The following is a 20,451-nucleotide window of genomic DNA, read 5'->3' on the forward strand; positions in this document are numbered from 1 at the left end:
CCAGGCCATTGCTAACCTTTTCTTTGGAAACTTGTGTGCTATAGCTAAACTGAAGGAATCTGGGATGATTTGATGATGGTCCTTACCCAGGTCTGGACTGGTAGGTCTAGGTCCTAGTTTTGGCTCTGGCCAGCTTTGGGCAAGGCGGTTTCACTCTCCTAAGTCCCACATGTCTCCTGTATAAAATGTTGAGGGGGGTGTACTAGTTAATTTCCAAAGCCCTTTCCAGGTCTCACATTCCTTATGTCTATGATTCTGTGATTAAGTTCCTGGAAGTTTAAGTACTGATAAAAGTGCCATTAAGTTCTGTATACTCAGCACTAGCAGCTGTCTGTTACCTAAGATACCTGGGCCTAGGAGTTATAGGGTGGGGGCTGGGGGCAGGGTGGGTGGATGAGAAAGGCTCCTTGTCTGACAACTGTGTGTATTGACTGTAGACAACAGAGGACTGCCCAGCACTGTGCAGTGTAACTGAGTATCCTCTGATTTCTGGGCTGTGATATACTAAGACTGACCATCAAAGACTGTTTCCCAACAAGAGAACCTTGTGCAGTAAGTTCCTCAGGCAAGAAGCGAGATAATTGGGACAGGATTGAATAGATCTCAGGCAGAGAAACTTGGGGGACAGATCAATGTAGGTAATGAACTGGTTGACCCAAGGCCTCTCTGTCTATCATTTTTTGACCTCAGGTCAGAGCGATAGAAAGGGGGAAAACTACCGACACAGCTCCTGCCATGAAGTCCTGGAGAAGAATAAGTGACTGTTTGTCCCGCATGGGTTAGTCATTCACCTGCCTGAAGGCAAAGGGCTGGGAGTCTGGAGTCCATGACCTGCTGGGACATACTTTGGGCTGCATTTTTTCCCCCTTCTAATGTCTCAGCTCTCAGGGATCTGCTTTTCCTGGTGCCAAGGAGTATGGATGAAATTTTGTCCCTCCTCCATGCACCCCTATAAAACAAATATGATGAGAAATTAATATTTTCCAAATGGTGACCTAACCTTTGTTCATTAATTGAGCTCCTATTGCATTCCAGGTACTGTTAGAGGCCAGCAAGATACCTAGATGATTGAGACAGAGTCCTCGCCCTCCATGAAGTGACTGTTCATTTTAAAACCCTAAAGCTGGGTTCTTAGAGGCTACTGCAACAGCAACAACTCCCGAGTGAGTGCTTATCATGTGCCAGGCTCTGGTTACAGGCTTTAACTCTCTCAGTGGAAACAGCCTGAGTGCTGGCTTGGCTACCCCATGTCTGTGAGACTGTGGGCAAGTCATTTACTTTCCCTTTGAGTTTCAATTTCTAAAACTGTAATATGGGGATAATATATGTAAAACAGCTAAGAAGTATATACTTTTAATGACTCTTTTTAGTGTCAATGGAGGATTTGTGAGCAAATGCATATAAAACACAAGGCAAACAGGAGGTATTTAGTAAGTGGCCACGTGATTATTGAGAGACTATGGGCTTCTTCCTGTTCCTCCAGAGCAAGACTGACAGGTGTCCTATTACCCTTGCATCTTCAGAGCCTAGAGCACAGCCCTGAAAACAGCAGGCGCTCACCACTTTTTATGATCAAAGGCAGTCTCTACAGGGAAAGTCAAATCATTATGGGTATTTATGAATTACAAAATCCATAAAGTTAAACCAGGAGAAATGGACAAAAACACACTCATTGTAGAGGTCTTTAATGATCCCTTGGCTCATGGCAGAGCAGCTAGACAAAAAACAAACAAACAAACAAACATGCAAAGATTCAGAAGGCCTGAAAAAATAATGAATACAAAGAAGATAAATCGATACAGTATTCTATCTTCACATTCGGAAGACAAAAACACCTTTCAAAAAACCATGGGACATTGGCAAAAATAACCACAGATAATCCTCAATAAATCTTGCCAGGAGGCAGTACAGATGACATTGAATTCAGTGAGACTACAAATTAAAGACAAAAAGGCGAAGTATAAATTACTTGTGTAAGAACTCTCTCAACTCTTGGGTCCAAGAAGAAAGCAAAAGGGAAATTGTATGATAGCAATAAATGTGCCATTACCCAGAGTCACACAGCTAACAGTGACACAGCTGAGGCTGCTAGAACCTGGGTCTACTGTCGTCCAGCCACGAACTGGCTTGAGATCCCGGATAAGTCTCTCTGAGCCTCGGTTTCCCCTTCTGTCAAGTAGCCTCGAAGGTCCCCGGCGCTCGGTTCGGTGGCGAGTTTGAGGAGTGTGGGGGAGGGGAGGGGAGGGAGCGTGCCCGAGACGCGGGAGCCGCGACCGCTTTCTGCGAAGTCGGGGAGGGTGCGGGCGTTGAGAGGCTGCAGCAGAGGGCGCTGGGTCGCCAGCCTGGGCCGCGTCTCCCATTGGTCGGGGCTGGGGCGCTGGGCTGGAGAGTTGGTGGAAAGTGACAAGTTGAGCGAGAGAGGGAGCGTGGAGAGCTGGAGCAGCCGCCACCGCCGCCGCCGAGGGAGCCCCGGGACGGCAGCCCCTGGGCGCAGGGTGCGCTGTTCTCGGAGTCCGACCCAGGGCGACTCACGCCCACTGGTGCGACCCGGACAGCCTGGGACTGACCCGCCGGCCCAGGCGAGGCTGCAGCCAGAGGGCTGGGAAGGGATCGCGCTCGCGGCATCCAGAGGCGGCCAGGCGGAGGCGAGGGAGCAGGTTAGAGGGACAAAGAGCTTTGCAGACGTCCCCGGCGTCCTGCGAGCGCCAGCGGCCGGGACGAGGCGGCCGGGAGCCCGGGAAGAGCCCGTGGATGTTCTGCGCGCGGCCTGGGAGCCGCCGCCGCCGCCGCCTCAGCGAGAGGAGGAATGCACCGGCCGCGCCGCCGCGGGACGCGCCCGCCGCTCCTGGCGCTGCTGGCCGCGCTGCTGCTGGCCGCACGCGGGGCTGCTGCCCAAGGTAAGAGGCGCCCGCCGGCCCCCGCCCGCCCAGACCCCCTGACCCGTGGCCACCCTTCCGCCGTCCAGCCGGGCGCGGGACACGCAGGAAGCGCCGCGCTGGCTCCGGGGCGCGTCCGGCCACCCGCCACGGGGCTCGCCGGCGCCGCCAGGCCAGGGTTTGCCCCGGAGCCCCGCCAGGCCAGGGTTTGCCCCGGAGCCCCGCGGCGGGCCGGGGCGCGCCCAGGGACTCGTTCCTCGGTGCGCAGCAGCGATTGTCAGCGCTGACAGGAAGCGTGGAGGGGTTTGAGGGTCCTGGGGGTGATCGGGGCACTTCTGTGCAGGGCGTCCCCCCTTGTCTCCCTGGACCTCTAGCGCGCCCCAGCCGGTGTTCAGGCAAGTCTATCCTGCCCCCAAGTTGCGAGCCGGCCCGGAAGGCGCGGTCCAGGAGGGAGTTTGGATTTTCAGTGGTGCTCGCCAGAGCCCAGGCGGCTCGCGGATCGACGCAAACAAAAGCCCTGTCCTCCTGGGGCTCCGGCGGCCTCGCATCGCCACCGCCCCCGGCCCTCCGGCCCTCCCGAGAGTCATCATAGAGGCCAAAACTTGTGCGCCGCTGCAGCCGCTGCCACTTTGTGCAAAATGTGCTGTCAGAGGCGGCCTGCGGCTCCAAAGTGCTTTGGGTGTGCACGCGCGCGCGCGCGCGTGTGTGTGTGCGTGTTACAAACAAGAGGGGGAAAAGCCATCTAATGCATATTTGATTTTGGTAATCTCTAAAGACAATCGCAACAGTTAGAGAAAGACTTCACCGCAAGCCGGAGCGTCTTAGTTCGCTGCGGGAAGCTGGGGTCCTTGCTGCGTCTGAGCCGGTACACAATGAGAGGGAAGAGCCCGGCTGAGCCTGTGGAGACAACCGATTCATTCTTTGGAGGTTGGAGGGGGAAAGTTGATTAAAGTCTCCGGGGTCTCGGGCCTCACTTTTAACATGCATCCCTTGAGGGGGTGAGGAGCCTTTGGATTCTGCCCTCCCCCACTCCCAGCCCTAAACCTGAGCGGATAAATAGATCTCTGCTCTTTTATCATGCATCTTTCATTTTTAAGTTAGCACTGTGTTTAGGAAAAGAAAAAGTTCTGCGCTACTTAGCAGTTGAGAGGAAAAAGATGTATTCACTACATAGACTACGAATGCAGAATTAGTTTTTACTAAAAGTTAGCTGACTTTCTTGGTAGAAAACACACTCTGGAAGGAAGTTGTGTGAAATTTTGATTTCTTAGAGATGGTTTTTGGAAGCTAGAGTAGCATTTTCTGAGGATGATTTCTGAAACGGATCCTATAATGTGGTCGTGCTAATCTGAAAGCTCCTGGGGGTAAATAGAGCTCCTAATTGTAATTAAGATGTGCATCAGCAGGGAGTGCACCTTCCTGATGAAAAATCCTAATGAAATGTAAACAGCTTGGTCACATAGATGTTTTGCTTGGTGATGCCAAACATCTGGCCTTGCGCCACAACACCTGGGTGAAAAGTAAAAATGGGCCATGCTGCCTAAGTAATGTAAACATCCTTCTCAAGTTGGGTTGCCCAGCAAATTGAGGTGGAGATAAGCAGGGTGATTTTAACTAAGGTGGGACTCCTGGCTTGGGGCTTTGGTTAATTCAGTTATTTCCCCTGTGGACTCCTTTACTTTGTACTTCACCTTTCAACAATAGTTGCTTTTAGATCATAGCCCCTTGTGGGGGTGGGGGTCACTTACCTTTAAATACATGTCCCTGCATTGATTTTGCTCACTGTAAACACCCTTCTTATCAGCAGCCACCCCAATTCTGTCTCCTTTAACTGTTTACAGCCTTTTAGAGTTGTTTAAAAAAGGTATTGCCTATTCCATTGTAGCAGGAGGAGCCACAGACAAAACTCCTCAGACACCCAGTGAGCAATTCCTGTCCCTTTTAAGGGCTCACAACTCTAAGGGGGTCCACGTGAGAGGGTCATGATGGGTACATGACTGGGGGCTGCATGCACTGGTAATCAGAACGAAACAGAACAGGATAGGGATTTTTACACTGTCTTTCCATACAATGTCTGGAATCTATAGATAACATAACCAGTTATGTCAGGGGTCGATCTTTAAGTACCAGGCTTAGGTCAGGCAGGCCCAGGCCTGGTTTCGGGTCTGGTTCCTTGGTTTCAGGTCTGGTTCCTAGGTGCCGGGCTACCTGCCTTTAATTTCGCTTCTCTTTCCTTTTCTGAGTATAAAACAATATAAAACAATATGAGAGGGTCTGTCTCTCTTCTCTCACCATACTCTTTAGTAATGAGCTCAAATCTGTTATTATTGTCTTATTTGTTGTTTTATAAATCCCTTTCCATTTTGTGAATGTTTGATCTTTTCTCTGGGGTCAAGACTTCTGGTAGAACTCACGTTTACTTTCTCCTCTTGGACTCAAGATTCCTAAGGTAGCCCAGCCAGTGGCTCAGGAAATCAGCTTAAGCGGAGATATGTTTCATGTATTTATTTAAAAAGATACAAAACATTTCTCCCATCATTTTTCTATTTTGTTAGCCAGGAGAAGAAAACCTTTAAATTTATTTTTTCTGGTCTGTCCATTGTTGATTTCTCATCTACCCCCTCCCTATGCAAAGCTCAACTTCTTTAGGAACCTGAAGCTTACCTTATAACTGCACCCAAGCCCAGGGCTTTAGGAACCTACCTGGCCTTTCTCAAAATCTTATAGATTCTGTGGTTTGGCTGCTGGGAGCCAGAGGGAGGTGGCTTGCTACTGTGTTTGCTATCATTTTGTAAACCTTCCGTTGCCATTTAAATAGGTATTTGTCTGTACTTTTAGAATAGAAGTGTCTTGAAGGCAATAAGACTGTGAGCTTTTCTGGTGAAAACACTGAGAGCCCAAGTCCACTAGTCCCAACTTTATTAGAGATGCCTGAAAATCCTCCCTGGCTGGCTAGGGGGAGCCGAACCAAGGTGGGATGGGCAAAGGGTGTGGTCAAATTGTCTCCTTCAGTTTTGGAAATATTTAATTTCCAATATAGATTCAGTATACATGGTAGGCTGTTTTGCTTCTCTGATGCCTGGGATAATCTGCCTGATATTTAGTGAGGGGTCAGCTTTGCCCTATAGCACCCTTTCTCTTCTGTATCTTGAGCATAGGCCCCCAGTTAGACTTTTGGAAAGTTTCTGAAAGTGTCACTTGCTCTGAAATTAGTATCAGGTTTGGCTGGTGGTTTGATGGTGAACATCTACCCCATTTCAAATATTTCTGAAAATTTTACACAGCATCCTATGGAGAATGGAACACTTTGTAAGCTATATGTACTTTGATGTAAATGTATATGTACAGATAGCATATGTATATACACACATATATAGTAAGTGGTCCATAGATATTTGTTGAATGAATGGAGAATAACTTTTTCGGTTGTATGCAAAATTCTGATATATGCTTTGCTTAGTAAAAATGCAACATGGCATATTTTCAAGGATTTTTCCTTTTCTTGTCCCATCTTCTAGTATGAAAGAAGTGTAGTGTAGCAGAACTTGACAGTAAAGCTAAATGGTTACAAGCACAGGCTTTGGCATTTAACAGACCTGGATTTGAATCTTTTCTCTGTTGTATAGTGGGTGTGTCAGTTTTCCTGAGCCTTTCAAGAGTGTTATGAGATTGAAGTGAGGTCATGCATGTAAAGTACTGGAGAACAGCACCCAGCCAAGAGGTGAGTGCGTGAAATTAATTTGGGGTACATGAAATTAAGGATATGTGAACTTCCAGAAATAATATACACAATTTTATATGCATTTTTACGGTTCTGTATTTATAGCTATAGCTATAATCTTATTTTCCAAGAAAAGTGTCAACCTCTGAACGATAGGAACTGCTGACTTGGAGTGTTTGATGCCTGAGGCAATGGGTTGTCTTCCTGGGGAGGCTGAAAGGAGTTGAGTGTTGGTGGCTAGTTCTAGGCCTTATCCCAGGTTAACACACTCCATGGAGGCCCCACTTCTCACCTCCCAGTTTCCCTTCCACCAGGCAGGCTGTTAATTGGGCCTGAGAGAAGCTGAAGAATGGTGCCAAGTCCTTGTGACCTCAAGTAAGAAAATATGTCTCTGAATCCAAGCATTCTGAGATGCAATTTGTACAGTTTATTTAACAAACACTTATCTAATCCTTACAATGGGCCAATCACTCTTCTAAGCCTTTTGCAAGTATTAACTCACTGAATCCTCACAACAACCCTATAAGGGAGATAGCATAATTAGCTCATTTTACTGATGGGTAAACTTAGGCACAGAGAGGTTAAGTTACTTTCTTTAGGTTACACTGCTAAAAAGTGGCATTACTGGGCTTACAAGCCCTAACAGTTCATGCTCTTACCTTAGTGGCTGTCCTAGACATTCTTTCCTTGTTTAATTCTTACAATTTATATTCTTTTAATGTATGGAACAAAGGTGGTATTTCCCAAGGTTTTCCAACAGCAGCAAAGGGAAGCTTGCTTAGCTGTAATCTAGAGGTTATAAGAAATTATTGGAGACAGCCAATTTCAATTTCCCTTCGAGTGCTGGAGTTCCCTAAGACGGTCTTGCTGAAACTCAGAGATAGACTGGAAGCACCTTGTTGGATGGCCTGGATCTCTGGTTCTGGAAGAATTACATTTTTGTAATGAGCTTCAACTTTGATGTGGTTTGAGAAGTGTGCTCGCCAGTTTTTTCCAACTATCAATAAGCTATATTTTGATGAAGTGACTTTGTATTTGCATCTTGGTGGACAACTGTGGTTGTAGGCTGAGAAGGCGGGGATTTATTAGAGTGCTGTCTAGTGGGACAGCTGGCTTGCCAGCTCAAGGTCCCAGTGAGGACCAGACCCTGGCAAATCCAGCTCCAGCTGAGAAACACTCACGTCTTCAAGGCCTCTTTCTCAAACAGAAGGGCCTTAGCCTGGCTTCACCCATTCCCTGGGGTGTGACGGGAGAGACTGTTCGGTAGAAACTGGAAGAGAAAGGAGAGTCTGAGAAAGTTCTCTGGAGTTGAAGGGGGAGGGGATGGGGGCAACTCTTCGAAAATCCTTAACTAAATGCAGCTGCTTGTTACACGGAGACTGACTTGCATGCCAGGAATATCTAAAAAGCTAACGAATACAAAATAAAAATAAACAGCAGTAAAAAGGCTCTCTCTTTGTTGCAGTAAGCTCAGTTGGGGTTTTCAGTTTGTTTAGGAATGGGATAATTGTGGCATCCACTTTATTTTGGTAAGGCAGTGAAACGTGGATTAATGTTATGTGATTGGGATGCTACCACCATCTGAACTTTTTCCTTCATCCCCTGCCCCCAGCCACACCCCCCAGAACACCCAGGCATGGACATCCATAGGACCTGAGTCTCAAACAGTTGCCCCTGAGTGAATTACATTGGAAGAGGGCAGATAATTTAATGGGATAATCTTGGCAGGGCCAGCAAATTTCACACCTCATCTCTCACTAATAGAAAGGCAGCAGAAGGCTACAACATCCTCAGATGAAAAGGTTGTATAAAAAGGCTCTGCTTAACAGTAACTGTCTGTCCATAAATAAGGTTTTGTACAGTCTTGATCCAAAAGCTGTTATGAAATACTGATAAGCCAAGCCTCATAATGTTTGGCCTCCTTACATTTCCTTTTCCTGCTTCTCTCCATAGAACCATAGATTTTTTTTTTTTTAAGAGAGAGAGGGGGACTAAAAAAAAGATCAACAGTCCAAACTTTATTTTTTTCAAGTATTTCTATACAGGATGGACTTCCTTTGATAGCTGCTTAAAGAGGTGGCGTGGAGTAATGGAAATAGAATGGGATTTGAGCCTGATAGGGAATGGGGGTTTGAATTGGGGCTTTGTTGCCTTCTTGGGCAAAGTTACCTAAACTTTTGAGCCTCTGTTTTCTTATCTGTAAAATGGGAATAACAATAATATGTGGCTTACTGGGGGGTTTTGTGAGAATAAAAGGATGTTATGAACTTATAGCGCCTAACACAGCACCATGGACTTAGTGAACGTGAAGTATGTTAGCCACCATCATTATCAAGGGCTTACTGAAGAAATTTGAAAATCTGGCTTCAAAACGATGGTCCTGCTGCAAGGTAGCAACCAAGGCTCAGAGAATAGCAAGTTTTACAAGGTTTTAGGACTCCAGAGTGTTTTGTTTTATAGGGAGCATGCAGATGCTCTAGATCTGAGCAGTACCCAGGCCAGTGCTGGGGACCTGGATGGAAGGGATTCCACAGTGCAGTTTTGCAATGCCTTAAAACAAAGGCTTTTTTCAGAACAGCAAGCTCTTTGGGGAAGAGCAACCCCTCCCAGGTGCTTAGTGTAATTCCAGAATCCTACAATGGGGAATGTTACATTTCAGGGACCTCCACTTGTAATCTGACCGTTTTTAGCTCCAATATCCAAATAATCTTGCTGAGCACAACTTGAAAGAGAAGGATAATGGCCGGAGGAAAGGATCCTGAGGTGCTCTGTTTGCCATTTAAATTTTCTGAGTAGAAGAAAAAAAGTTCATGTTACCCAAAGAGAGAAGAGTAATGAAGCGTGTGGGAAGCAGGAGGGGTGATAAAGAGGACTTCTAAAGACAAAGCAGAGGTTGGGTTTGATATTTTATTTTTCAACAGTGAAGCTTGTCACTCAGTGTATTTCAACTAACATTTATTATATATTTATCACATGAAAGATACAGTATTCGTGTCCAGGAATAAAGTATTAACTTTGCCCTCAAGGAGAGAGGAGAAAAATTCTCACTTTTTTGAGCACCTGCTATATGCCAGGTATCATTTTTTTAAAGCTATTAAATTTATGCTTCTCAGCACTCCTTGGAGTTTGGACTTCTGATCCTATTTTACAGATAAGAAAATCGAGGCTCAGGAAGGTAAGTATCTCAGCCAAATTCGTACAATGATTAAGTTGGGATTTGGGATTTGAATCTAGGTATTTTGACTCTCAGATGTATGCTCTTTTTGTTATCCTTAAAGTGTGATTGGGGAGACACCAATGAGCAGATGTGGTACCACAGGCAACTATCTCTCCCACAAGTGAATTATAGGAAAGAGTTGTGGAAAAAATGCTGTGGGAACATGGGGAAGAATACATTAATTCTCAGGGGATTAGAGGGTCAGAGGAAGAACATGAGTGCCTCCTTCATAGGCTTATTGTGAAGAGTCAATGAAATAATTCATGGAACACACTCAGACTGTGCATAGTGAGCGCTCAGTGAGTGTTCTGCTATAGTTATGTAGCCAGTGAGAGGCCTGATCAGGATTTATCTGCCTCTAAAACCCATGTACTCTTGCTCCCCTGTGCACTTTTTAAACAGACATGTGATTGTTGGAAGAGTAAGTAACTGTGCAGTCACCAAATGAAAGGGAAGACACCAATACAGTTGCTCTGGTATATTCACCACCTGCCCTAATCCTGGCTTTTAGGACTGGACTGCTTTGGGTATGGGAGGGGATTTGGATAGATGTGGGGTTGGAAAGAATCAAGATGTCTCATCATGAACTATAGCGCTCCTAGAACTCTGGCCAGGATTTACCACCTGCCCTCATTCATTCATTGATCATACATTTTCTATGCACTTACAGTGAACCAAATATTCTGATAGTCTCACTGGAGATGTAAAGATGAATAAGGTTAGATCATTGCCTTGGAGGGTTTTTCAAATGACAGATTTATGGCAGAGATTGCTAGCTGATCACCAAATATGTTTCCATCTCTTCCGGTCATATGACTAGACAACATTTCTCAGCTTTCTCACAGTTAAGTGAAGCCATGTGACTAAATACTAGCCAATTAAATGAAATTGGAGGTAATTTTTGTCGCTTGTAGGCTTGACCCATAAAAAACTCCCCAGGCAGAATCGGTATGATCCTTCTTCGGTGGCTTGACAACCTTAGAAGTCATGTGTTGAAAGTGTCACAACGTGGAAAGAGCCTGAGACTCTCCCTTAATCACTGTGTGGTGGAAGCCACACTTGTTTAGGTTTTATGTGAACCAAAAACAAGTGTCCATTGTTAAGGCTGAGATTTTGAGGTTTTTTTTTTTTGTTTTTTTTTTTGTTACAGCTGCTAATGTTACCTTAACTAACATGAGGTTGTAAATCAGTGTGTGGTGAGATCAATTTAGTGGGTTAGGACCAGCATTTTTAGATAGAATAAAATAGGAAACCTGGTTTGTGTCTGACCACTTCATGCAGACCTGGGGCTCCATCCAGTAAATTAAACCCCTTCCCAAATAATTTATGGCACACATAGGGTGCCTCTAGCACTGTAGAGAATCTAGAAGAATGAAGGGTGGCCTTTACCCTTGGGGAGTTTACCTTTTAGGGGCAGTAAAATAGGCACTTTATACAGCCAGTGAGTACAGAGTTGGCAATTATATATGCAGAATCCCTAGAAGGGTGGGTCTTTCGGGAGGAAGTGTGATATGATGTGAGCCTTGAAGGAAGGATTGAGAGGGTGCGGGATTGAAGGATGGGAGATGGGAAGAGGAGTTGGACATTTCACTGCTGGAAAAGGGCTGGAGTTCCACAGCAGCCTGCAGCTGCTCTGGGGGTCTCCATGGACTCGCTGAGACTATCCTGAGTTCTTAAACCAGGCCTTCACTGTGGAATGAAGCTGATCTCCAGGGGATGGGAGAGTGAAGAAAAGAAAGACAGCGTTGAATGAAGCCTGTTGTGTTTTTAGCATATGAAGGGTGGAGGAGGAGAGAGAAGGAAGCAGTTTCACTGGGAGCCTGAAGACTTGTCTTTCTTCCCAAAGGGTGTCCCAGGGAGTTAAAAATGTTGTGCATTTCAGGGCTGCTTGTCAAAGGTATATGATGGTGTCTTATTGTCTCTAATGCAGCCATTTTCTCTTATAGTGCAGGCTACTTAATTCTATTCCCCCTCTTGTCTGCTTGATGAAAAGAATAATAGTATACTAATAATTAACACACTGAGCATACTGTGGGCCAAGTACTATTCTAAGTTCTTTAAGCGATTTAACTTGCATAGTCTTCAGGACGACCCTATGAGGTAAGCCAGAGTTCTAGGAGCATTATTGTTCACTATTAGGCATCTTGATTCTCTCCAGCTCCACACCTGTGTGAATCCTCCACCATGCCCAAAGCAGAATCCAGGCTAAAAGCCAGGATAAGGGCAGATGGGAGAAAATACAAGACGAACTGTCTTGGTGTCTTCCCTTCTATTTGGTAACTACACAACTACTTACTCTTCCAACGACCACATGTCTGTTGAAAAGGTGCACAGCAGAGCAAGAGTATATGGGCTTTAGAAGCAGATTAATCCTGACCAGGTCTTTCACCGGCTGCTGAACACTCCTTGAACACTCACAATGCATGTGGCAGGGTGCTCAGTGTGTTCCACGATATCCCCATTTTCCAGATAAGGAAACTGAGGCACAGAGAAGTAAGTAACCTGCCCAAGACCACACAGAGAGTTAAATGGGAAAACTAGGATTTGAACCTGCATATCCTAAGGCCTGAGTTTTGTTCCTAATCATTATTATGCCAAACTGCATTGCAGTTTTTTTTTTCAACTCTGTCTGATGATTAAAATTCTCTGTAAGATCCCAGCCAAATAGCTGAGTCAAAATAATTATAATTAAATCCTCCATTTGTATAGGGCTTTGCAGCTTACAAAATCATTTTATGTACAGTATTACCTTTAATTTTCCAAAAAATACAGTTAAATAGGATTTATTTCTCTCTTCCTTTTAAAAGTAGGCAGGTGAGTTTGGCAGCTCACACAAGGTCACTCTGTAGCTGTCAGGGCCTGTCTAAAACCCAGCCCCTTGGACTTAGGGCCCATTGAACTTTCTGCTCTAAAGACTACTTTTGTTTGGAATTTGTGCCTCTAATATACTGATATATGACTATTTTCACTACTGTTTCACCAAAAGGTGAATTTGCCTGATTTTCACTTGTTTCATCCACAAAATCTTCAAATAGCTGTTGTCTTTAGAAACAGTTGAAAGGCATTTGTAGATGGGACCTGGCTCTGGGATTTCTGTAACCTGGGAAAATTTACTTGCAAAAAGACAGAGAAGTTACTTAAAAACAGGATTTTCCTAAGTGGTTGGTGATTGTGGCAGGGAGAGGAGCCAGGAAGAGAAGGACTTTGGCATCAGATGGACTAGGCTCACTACTGCTCTGCCAGGTCAGCAAACTACGTAACCTCTGAGACTGGCTTTCCTCACGTGTAAAATGGGAGCCATAATGGTGCCTACCATGACAGAGGGGGAAGGACCATGGGTAGTGTTTGGCACAGTGCCTGGGCCATAGTTGGTTGTTGGTGTGTGATCGAAGCTACATCTCTCAATTGAATGGAGAGCAGCAATTCTTCCTTTAAGATTTTTCACAGGATGGGATGGGGCAAAATTGCTAGTTCTCAGCGCCTTGTTAGGCATGATTTTATAATACAGTTATCTCTGACACGGACTTTCTTAGCACCTGGAAATCTTAGGTTATAATTATATTGTTTCTCAAGGGCAGGGACTTTCTTATGCTCTGTGAAGGTTAAACATCATAAGGTAAAAATAGAACATGCTGCCTGAAATCCTAGATACCCTGGAAAGGCTCTTATCTGTTCTTCATGGGAAACTGACACCATTTCCGGATGGGTTTAGACAATGTACATGAAAGCAACTTATTCTACTTTTTCTCCATAAGAGAGATTATAGCCTTGCTTCTAGGATTTCACTCCAACTGGGGTGTTTCAAAGTTTTTACATAATTTTCACACCCCCTGGAGAGTATTGGCTGTTTTTCTTTTTTCTGCCTGAACTTCCATTGTGGTGATGGACTGTATTAGCCTTTCATATGCCTACCTTAAAGAGGTAATGCTTAACCCAGTCATGACTGTTTTATCTCCTCCCTTCAGAGAACTGTTGTGTGTTGTATGGGGATTTTCAGTCCCAAGATATTGCCTGTTGGAGACCAGTGGTGTGTAGACCACTGAAAACAAGCAGCAACTATATATATATATATTTTATTTATTTATTTATTTATTTATTTATTTAATTTTTTTTTTGAGACGGAGTCTCACTCTGTGGCCCAAGCTGGAGTGCAGTGGCACGATCTCAGCTCACTGCAACTTCTGCCTCCTGGGTTTTTTAAGTGATTCTGCTGGCTCAGCCTCCCGAGCAGCTTGGATTACAGGCGCCTGCCACCACGCCCGGCTAATTTTTGTATTTTTAGTAGAGACAGGGTTTCACCATGTTGGCCAGGCTGGTCTTGAACTCCTGACCTCAAGTGATCTGCCCCGCTCAGCTTCCCAAAGTGCTGGGATTACAGGCGTAAGCCACCGCGCCCGGCCTACGCAGCAACAATTTTCGATGATGTTCTTAATCCACCAGTGATTTAAACCTCTTTTTCTCTGTGCGGCTCATAGCGCTTTGCCCACTCACATCTGGTGTCCCTAAGTCAAAGCATTGAAAACTTTGCCTGTGACCAGGTAGTCTTCAGTGGGTTAGAGTCTGCTGTCAGGGCCTCCCAGGGGACACGTGATAACTAATGTCCTTTTTCCCCACTGAGGAAGGGGGGAGCTGAACTGAGCATGTCCAGTCTGTGCTACCCAGCTCATCCCTAAGTTGCTGCCTAGGACTGTGCTCCGGGCCTCTGCAAGGAGGAGTTAGTAAAGGTGCAGAGAAAGTCCAGGACTTAACACTGATTAGTCTTCCTCCCCAGAAAGAAAGCACCTGGCACAGGGAATAAAGCATTTCCCCCCTTACGCTGGCTACAACTTGATTTTTTTTTTTTTTTTTTTTTTTTTTTTTTTTTTGAGACAGAGTCTCGCTCTGTCGCCCAGGCTGGAGTGCAGTGGCACAATCTCTGCTCACTGCAAGCTCCGCCTCCCGGGTTCACGCCATTCTCCTGCCTCAGCCTCCTCAGTAGCTGGGACTACAGGCACCCGCCACCACGGCCAGCTAATTTTTTGTATTTTTAATAGAGACGGGGTTTCACCGTGTTAGCCAGGATGGTCTCGATCTCCTGACCCCGTGATCCTCCCGCCTCGGCCTCCCAGAGTGCTGGGATTACAGGCGTGAGCCACCGCGCCTGGCCTTTTTTTTTTTTTTTTTTTTTAAGGAGCAATTGTCAGATTTGATGGTTGTGTTGGGGTTAAAACTATGTAGATAAGGTGGTCAAAACCTTTTAGAAATAATCCTCCCACATCTTTCCTGAGGGCTTAGGTTTAGAAAGTTTCTTAGCCATCCCAGGATGTGGGTGAAAGTGGCTTCCCCCAGACTCATCAAATACACAGAGCAATTGATCTGAGTGCTGGTGGATGGGAGGGAAGGAAAGGAGGGGCCCAAGAGGCGCAGCTCCACCTGCCCGAGGGAGACGTCCTGTGTAAACTAACAAGAAGTCACTGGTGCTTCGGTTTGGTTAAATACTGATTTAGCAACTGAAAGGGATGCAGGAGAAATATGGCAATATCCTCTCCAGTAAGAAGTTTACTGTTTTTGTTAGGGAGGCAAGACTGATACACCCCAAACGGTATGGGAATAATGAATTGATCCAAATGTCAGTGGCCTGCCCTTGGTTTAGGGCCCTTTGCCTATCTTGAAGCCTCCAGGAATTTCTACCCTCACACCGGCCTACCTCCCTGGCATATCCAGCTCAGACTCTTTCCTCTTTTCATTTCTTCTTGCTGAATTCTTGTTCTTCAAACTGTATTGCATCCACATCCAGGAAGGCACCCTGGCCTGTTTCAGCCTGTCAGTCCTTCTTTTGTCGTCTCACCTTCCACCAGTATTCTCACATAGGCCGTCTAAATCACACCTGCTTATGCTGATTTAGCCCAACACCTTTGCAATAATTGTCACTGTCAAGTATTAAGCATTGACTGTGGACCCAGCACCTGGCAAGGCATTTTGTATTTTGTAGTGGAATCATATTATTTTCTCCCTGTAGAACTATTGCCTTTCTTTCCTTCCTTCCTTCCTTCCTTCCTTCCTTCCTTCCTTCCTTCCTGCCTTCCTGCCTTCCTGACTTCCTTTCTTTCCTTCCTTCTCTTTTTTTTTTTTTTCTTTTTTGATGGAGTTTCACTCTTGTTGCCCAAGCTGGAGTGCAATGGTGCGATCTCAGCTCACTACAACCTCCGCCTCCCAGGTTCAAGCAATTCTCCAGCCTCAGCCTCCTGAGTAGCTGGAATTACAGGCACCTGCCACCATGCTTGCCTAATTTTTGTATATTTAGTAGAGACGGGTTTTGCCATGTTGGCCAGGCTGGTCTCAAAATCCTGGCCTCAAGTGATCCACCCACCTTGGCCTCCTAAAATGTTGGGATTACAGGCATAAGCCACTGCACCCGGCCTATCGCCCTGATTTCAATCCCTCATCTGTCACTCCCTCATTCTGGGAAATGCCCCTTCATCAGTTTCAAAAGGAACTAATCATAGTCTTTCCTTGGGATTTAGGGGCAGCCCTTCTGGGATGGGGAAGCTGAGAGATGCCCTTGGTCATGTCTGAGCCCAGGAAAGAAGCTGGTGTGTAGGAGAGAATGACTTCATATCCAGAGCAGGCACTCCTGAGAGGCAGAAGAGGTCTGACAGCCTGCCAATCTCTTTTCCACCTCCCTGGGGTTTCCTTATCTGAGCCAGTAGACGCTGCTTTCATGAGGTTATTGTGTTCCTACAATGCACACAGCCTCACCTCACTAATCCTCATAACAAAATGAAGTGGGTGTTATCCTTTTTTTAAAGCTAAGAGGAAGCAGTTTGATTGCTTTTTCTGATGAGAACATTTATATCCATTAAAAGCAAATTCAGAAATGTATAATGAAAACAAATTTCACCCATTATCCTACCATTCAGAGATAACTTCTGATTGTGTTTATACACGTGGATTTATAAAAGGAGGTTATGCTTTTATTCCCAAAAGAAAACTGAGGCTCAGAGATGTTAAGTAACTCCTCTAGGGTCAAAACCAGTGCAAATCACTAAAACGTGTTGACTGTCTGTTAAATTCAATGTAATTAAGTGCCACAGGGAGTTACAGGCAGTAGGTTTTGTGGATCAAGAAGGAAAGAGGCCGGCATTGATTGGAATTACTGGGAGGGTTTTCTGAAGGAGGTGGGGCTTGACAGAGTGATCTAATATATATATTATATGTTATATATATATATATATTTTAAGGCTTGTTTTATTTTAATGGCTGATCTATATAATCACAGAAGCCAGTATGTACAGACAAAGTGGAAGTTTTTATTTCCTTGTCTCTTCCTCCTTGGACAAGGTCTTGATGATTTCCTCCTTCTTGACCTGGAGGCACTCTTTATGGCGCTTGCATGCTTCCTTGGTCTTAGACCTCTGGGCCTCAACCTGGTTAGCCAGGAGCTTCATGCGAGCCTTATCTGCCTTCAGCTTGTGGATGTGTTCCATGAGAATCGCTTGTTTTTGAACACGTTCCCCTTAACCTTCAGGTACAGGCTGTGATACATGAGGTGATCAATCTTCTTAGATATGCGGTATCTTCTGAGCAGCCAGCACAGAATCCTCATTCTCCTCATCCACGTGACCTTCTCTGGCATCCGGGCATTGGTTGTACCCTTTCGCTTACCTATGCCCATGTGCCTGCCCTTCCGGTAGGCCAAGGTGTTTTCCTGGCATCGAGCCTGGGAATGGACAGTCATTGGCTTGCGGATCATCAGCCCATCTTTGATCAGCTTCCAGATCTGCTGACAGGAGTTGGCATTGGAGATTTCATTGGTTTCATTGGGGTCCAACCAGACCTTCTTCTTGCCACAGGGGAGGACCCTAGAGGCAAGCCTCTTCTGAAGCCTGAGCATACTCATGGCTGTGACCATAGCAGTGAAAGGTGAGTGATCTAATATTGACTTGATTCCTCCCATTAAGTGGCCTCTGAGTGGGCAAAGCCAGTGAATGGGGACACCTGAGCACTGCCTGCTGTCGGGACTGGGCACTGCCTAAGACAATGATTACTTTTGAGCTTTTCTGAAGTGAAAATAAGTCAATGTGAACATGGCAAAGAGGGACAGAGGAAGAGACTTATGGTATCTAGAAGGAAGTTGGCAGGTAACAGGGTGCCAGGAAATTAAGACCTAAAGAAATAGAGTGGAGGAGAAGGAGGGTGGGGGCACAACAGTGGATTGTGGTTTTGCATTTGAATCAGGAGGAGGAAAAAAACACCCATCCTTCCTCTCCTTTTTTTTTTTTTTTTTTTTTTGTCTTTAAACAGGCACTGTCACTCTCTTTTGGGATTACTTATTTATATGTTTGTCTCTCCCTCTGCACTGTGAGATCTGGGTGAGGAGGAATGGTGTTTAATTTTCATGCATATCTTCAGTGTTCAGCACATTAAGCCTGGCACAAATCAAAGAGACACTCATTAAATATTTTTCAAAGCAAGGATCCACTGACATGACTTTCAGGCAGGCCCTCCCAAGCTGTCTACAACCCCCTCTGTGGTCTCATAGGGCACCTATGCACATATTGGCTTTTCATGGGCTGTTCCCTCCCACAGAAGCACCTTTCCCCCACCCATCAGCTACAGTCCTTCTGTCTTGGCTCAGATGTCACATCCCTGACTCAACAGGTGAGATTAGATTTCCACTCACATGCTCTCCTAGCACTTTGTGTTCTTAAATAACCTTCATTATAATTTGTCATTGAATATTTATTTGTGTAATGACTATTTTTTGGGATCTTCTCTATCACTGGGTTGGATGCTCCTTACAGTAGGGTCTGGTTCTGGATCTCCTGAGCCTGGGCCAGTTGAATGGATTCTGCTTTTACTTTTACTAAGCATTGTTCTTCCTTCCTAGAGGCCGAGATAACTCCAGCTTACCTTGGTGTGACTATCTAGGAATTTAAAAACGCGTCTTCGAACAACTGAAAATCTCCAGGCTATCTCTTCCAACAGTTGAGGAATCCAGCCCTGTAAAAAGTCAATCAGGCTAAATGACACCTGCTGTGAGTTCTGTTTGCAGGAGAGCAATGGGCAGCTCCAGAGCTGGGCTGTTTTCCCAACATGGAGTCTGTGATAACTGGGTTTTGCTGCTATAAATTAGGGTCACCCTGCTCTTAATTGGCAACCAATTCAGATTCTCCCTTACAATCCTCCTCTTTCTCCTTTTTCGTGTGGACTGTGTTTGAGAGAAGGTGTGGAAAATCCTGGCACTGTGCTACAGGGACGGTGCACCTGCAAGCTGGGAATAGAGGTGGTGAATGCTGGCTGCCGGCCCTCAGCACCTTTTTCTCCCTCCCTGTTGCTCTGCCCTTCCCTGTCTTTTCTCAGGAATTTTGAAAGAGGTCTCATTACTAGGGAAATATCCCCTGGGGAGCTCTTCCTCTCTCTTCTTTCTCTCAATGAGTAGAGGGGAAAGTGTTCTCAGTTTTGAACCTGCAAGCCATCTGGATGCAAAGATGGCCAGAAATGCCCCCTTGTCTCTGGATTTCCTACAGCAACTCTGCCTTAGCCTCCCAGTACCATCTGCTTCAGGCTGGGACATCTTTCCTTCATGCAGGAGAAAGGGGAGCTTAATAAAATTTTGCTGGGGTTTCTTGGGGCCTGAGGCAGTAGTGGGGAGGAGAGAAGCCTGGGCTGTTTTATTTCTTGCACCTGCTATGAGTCAGGAGTGGTCCTTGGTCAGCAGGCACATGGAGGCCTGCTGGGTGCCAGGCATTGGGCAGGTGTTGGGGCTACAGGATTATCTGCTAGGACCTCAAAGTCTGGCCTTGTGGGCAGCGTGAAAACAATGATGGTGACACAGTGAGAGTCTGGGCACAGGTCCTGGAAGGTGTGGAGAGGGAGCAGCCAATGCAGGCTCCTGTTAGAGTGCTGGAGACAGAATCAGGAAAGGTGACTCAGGGGAGTCACCTTTTTTTCACTGGAAAAAAATATGTCTGGGAGGCACTAAAACAAGAGCCCATTATGTGTTTTAAAATGATATTAGTAATAATGTAGGGGTTTATTTGGACAAATGAGTTCACAAAATTGTGCTGCCTGTAATGTTGATTCTTGACTGAGGGATAAAACTCACTTCCCAGGCCCCTTTCTGTAAGCCAGTTCCCACCATCCCCTTGAACCTCAGCTGCTCCACCAGAGTCAAAGCAACTCAGAAGGAGGCTGAGACCCCCATGCCTCATTGCTAATCGATGGGCATGGTGGATGGGCATGAGGGTGGGGTTCAGGACCTTACCTAGCATCTGTCTTCCCAGAATGTTGCTCTGCCCTTTCTGGGGATAAGAGGTCTTAGTTTCTTTATCTCTATAATGGGAATTATAATCCATTCCCTGAAGATTATGGAAGATTATAGGAGGTAAAGGCTATAAAGTCACCTTGTAAACCTAAAATCCTATCTGAGATCGAGGATTTAGATGGCAAGTACCATTTTGTCTTCATTTCTTGGTGAAGAAGGATCCATGAGGCCTCCTTTATTCACTCAACAGATATTTACGTGGCAGGCATCATTCTTGATACTGAGGGTAAAGCTGTGAACAAAACAAAGACCCTGGTCATGGAGGAGTCAGGAAATACAGAAATATACATGACAGCAGGTAACAGGAAGGGCCAAGAAGAATGAGCAGGGT

The 20,451-nt window shown here is 45.7% G+C and overlaps 1 protein-coding gene and 1 pseudogene across 2 annotated transcripts in view, besides 6 other annotated features; one reads left to right on the forward strand and one right to left on the reverse strand.

The window, feature by feature from the left end:
• ROR1 (receptor tyrosine kinase like orphan receptor 1) overlaps window positions 2,406–20,451 on the forward strand; it is a 407,482-nt gene continuing 389,436 nt past the window's right edge. For both annotated transcript variants that reach the window (NM_005012.4, NM_001083592.2), the window contains exon 1: window positions 2,406–2,897. In NM_005012.4, coding sequence (NP_005003.2) covers window positions 2,807–2,897 — 91 coding nt within the window. In that variant the 5' untranslated portion in view covers window positions 2,406–2,806. The remainder of the gene's footprint in view (window positions 2,898–20,451) is intronic.
• Window positions 2,473–2,522: a silencer, noted in NCBI's record as "silent region_952". NCBI's record gives its function as "represses an Ori minimal core promoter by ATAC-STARR-seq in GM12878 lymphoblastoid cells {active_cell/tissue: GM12878}" and the evidence as "EXISTENCE:reporter gene assay evidence [ECO:0000049][PMID:35858748]".
• Window positions 3,307–3,601: a silencer, noted in NCBI's record as "tiled region #13784; K562 Repressive non-DNase unmatched - State 10:DNaseD". NCBI's record gives its function as "represses a minimal TATA promoter and a strong SV40 promoter by Sharpr-MPRA in K562 cells {active_cell/tissue: K562}" and the evidence as "EXISTENCE:reporter gene assay evidence [ECO:0000049][PMID:27701403]".
• Window positions 3,307–4,030: a biological region, named in NCBI's record as "Sharpr-MPRA regulatory region 13784".
• Window positions 3,467–4,030: an enhancer, noted in NCBI's record as "OCT4-NANOG hESC enhancer chr1:64240749-64241312 (GRCh37/hg19 assembly coordinates)". NCBI's record gives its function as "activates a minimal SCP1, AML or CMV promoter by ChIP-STARR-seq in naive H9 embryonic stem cells {active_cell/tissue: H9 hESC(naive)}" and the evidence as "EXISTENCE:reporter gene assay evidence [ECO:0000049][PMID:30033119]".
• Window positions 7,667–7,961: a silencer, noted in NCBI's record as "tiled region #321; K562 Repressive non-DNase unmatched - State 23:Low". NCBI's record gives its function as "represses a minimal TATA promoter and a strong SV40 promoter by Sharpr-MPRA in K562 cells {active_cell/tissue: K562}" and the evidence as "EXISTENCE:reporter gene assay evidence [ECO:0000049][PMID:27701403]".
• Window positions 8,939–9,494: an enhancer, noted in NCBI's record as "OCT4-NANOG hESC enhancer chr1:64246221-64246776 (GRCh37/hg19 assembly coordinates)". NCBI's record gives its function as "activates a minimal SCP1, AML or CMV promoter by ChIP-STARR-seq in primed H9 embryonic stem cells {active_cell/tissue: H9 hESC(primed)}" and the evidence as "EXISTENCE:reporter gene assay evidence [ECO:0000049][PMID:30033119]".
• Window positions 17,030–17,723, reverse strand: RPL19P3 (ribosomal protein L19 pseudogene 3; annotated as a pseudogene).

The sequence above is a fragment of the Homo sapiens genome, chromosome 1, assembly GCF_000001405.40.
Source record: "Homo sapiens chromosome 1, GRCh38.p14 Primary Assembly".
In the NCBI taxonomy this organism is placed as follows: Eukaryota; Metazoa; Chordata; class Mammalia; order Primates; family Hominidae; genus Homo; species Homo sapiens.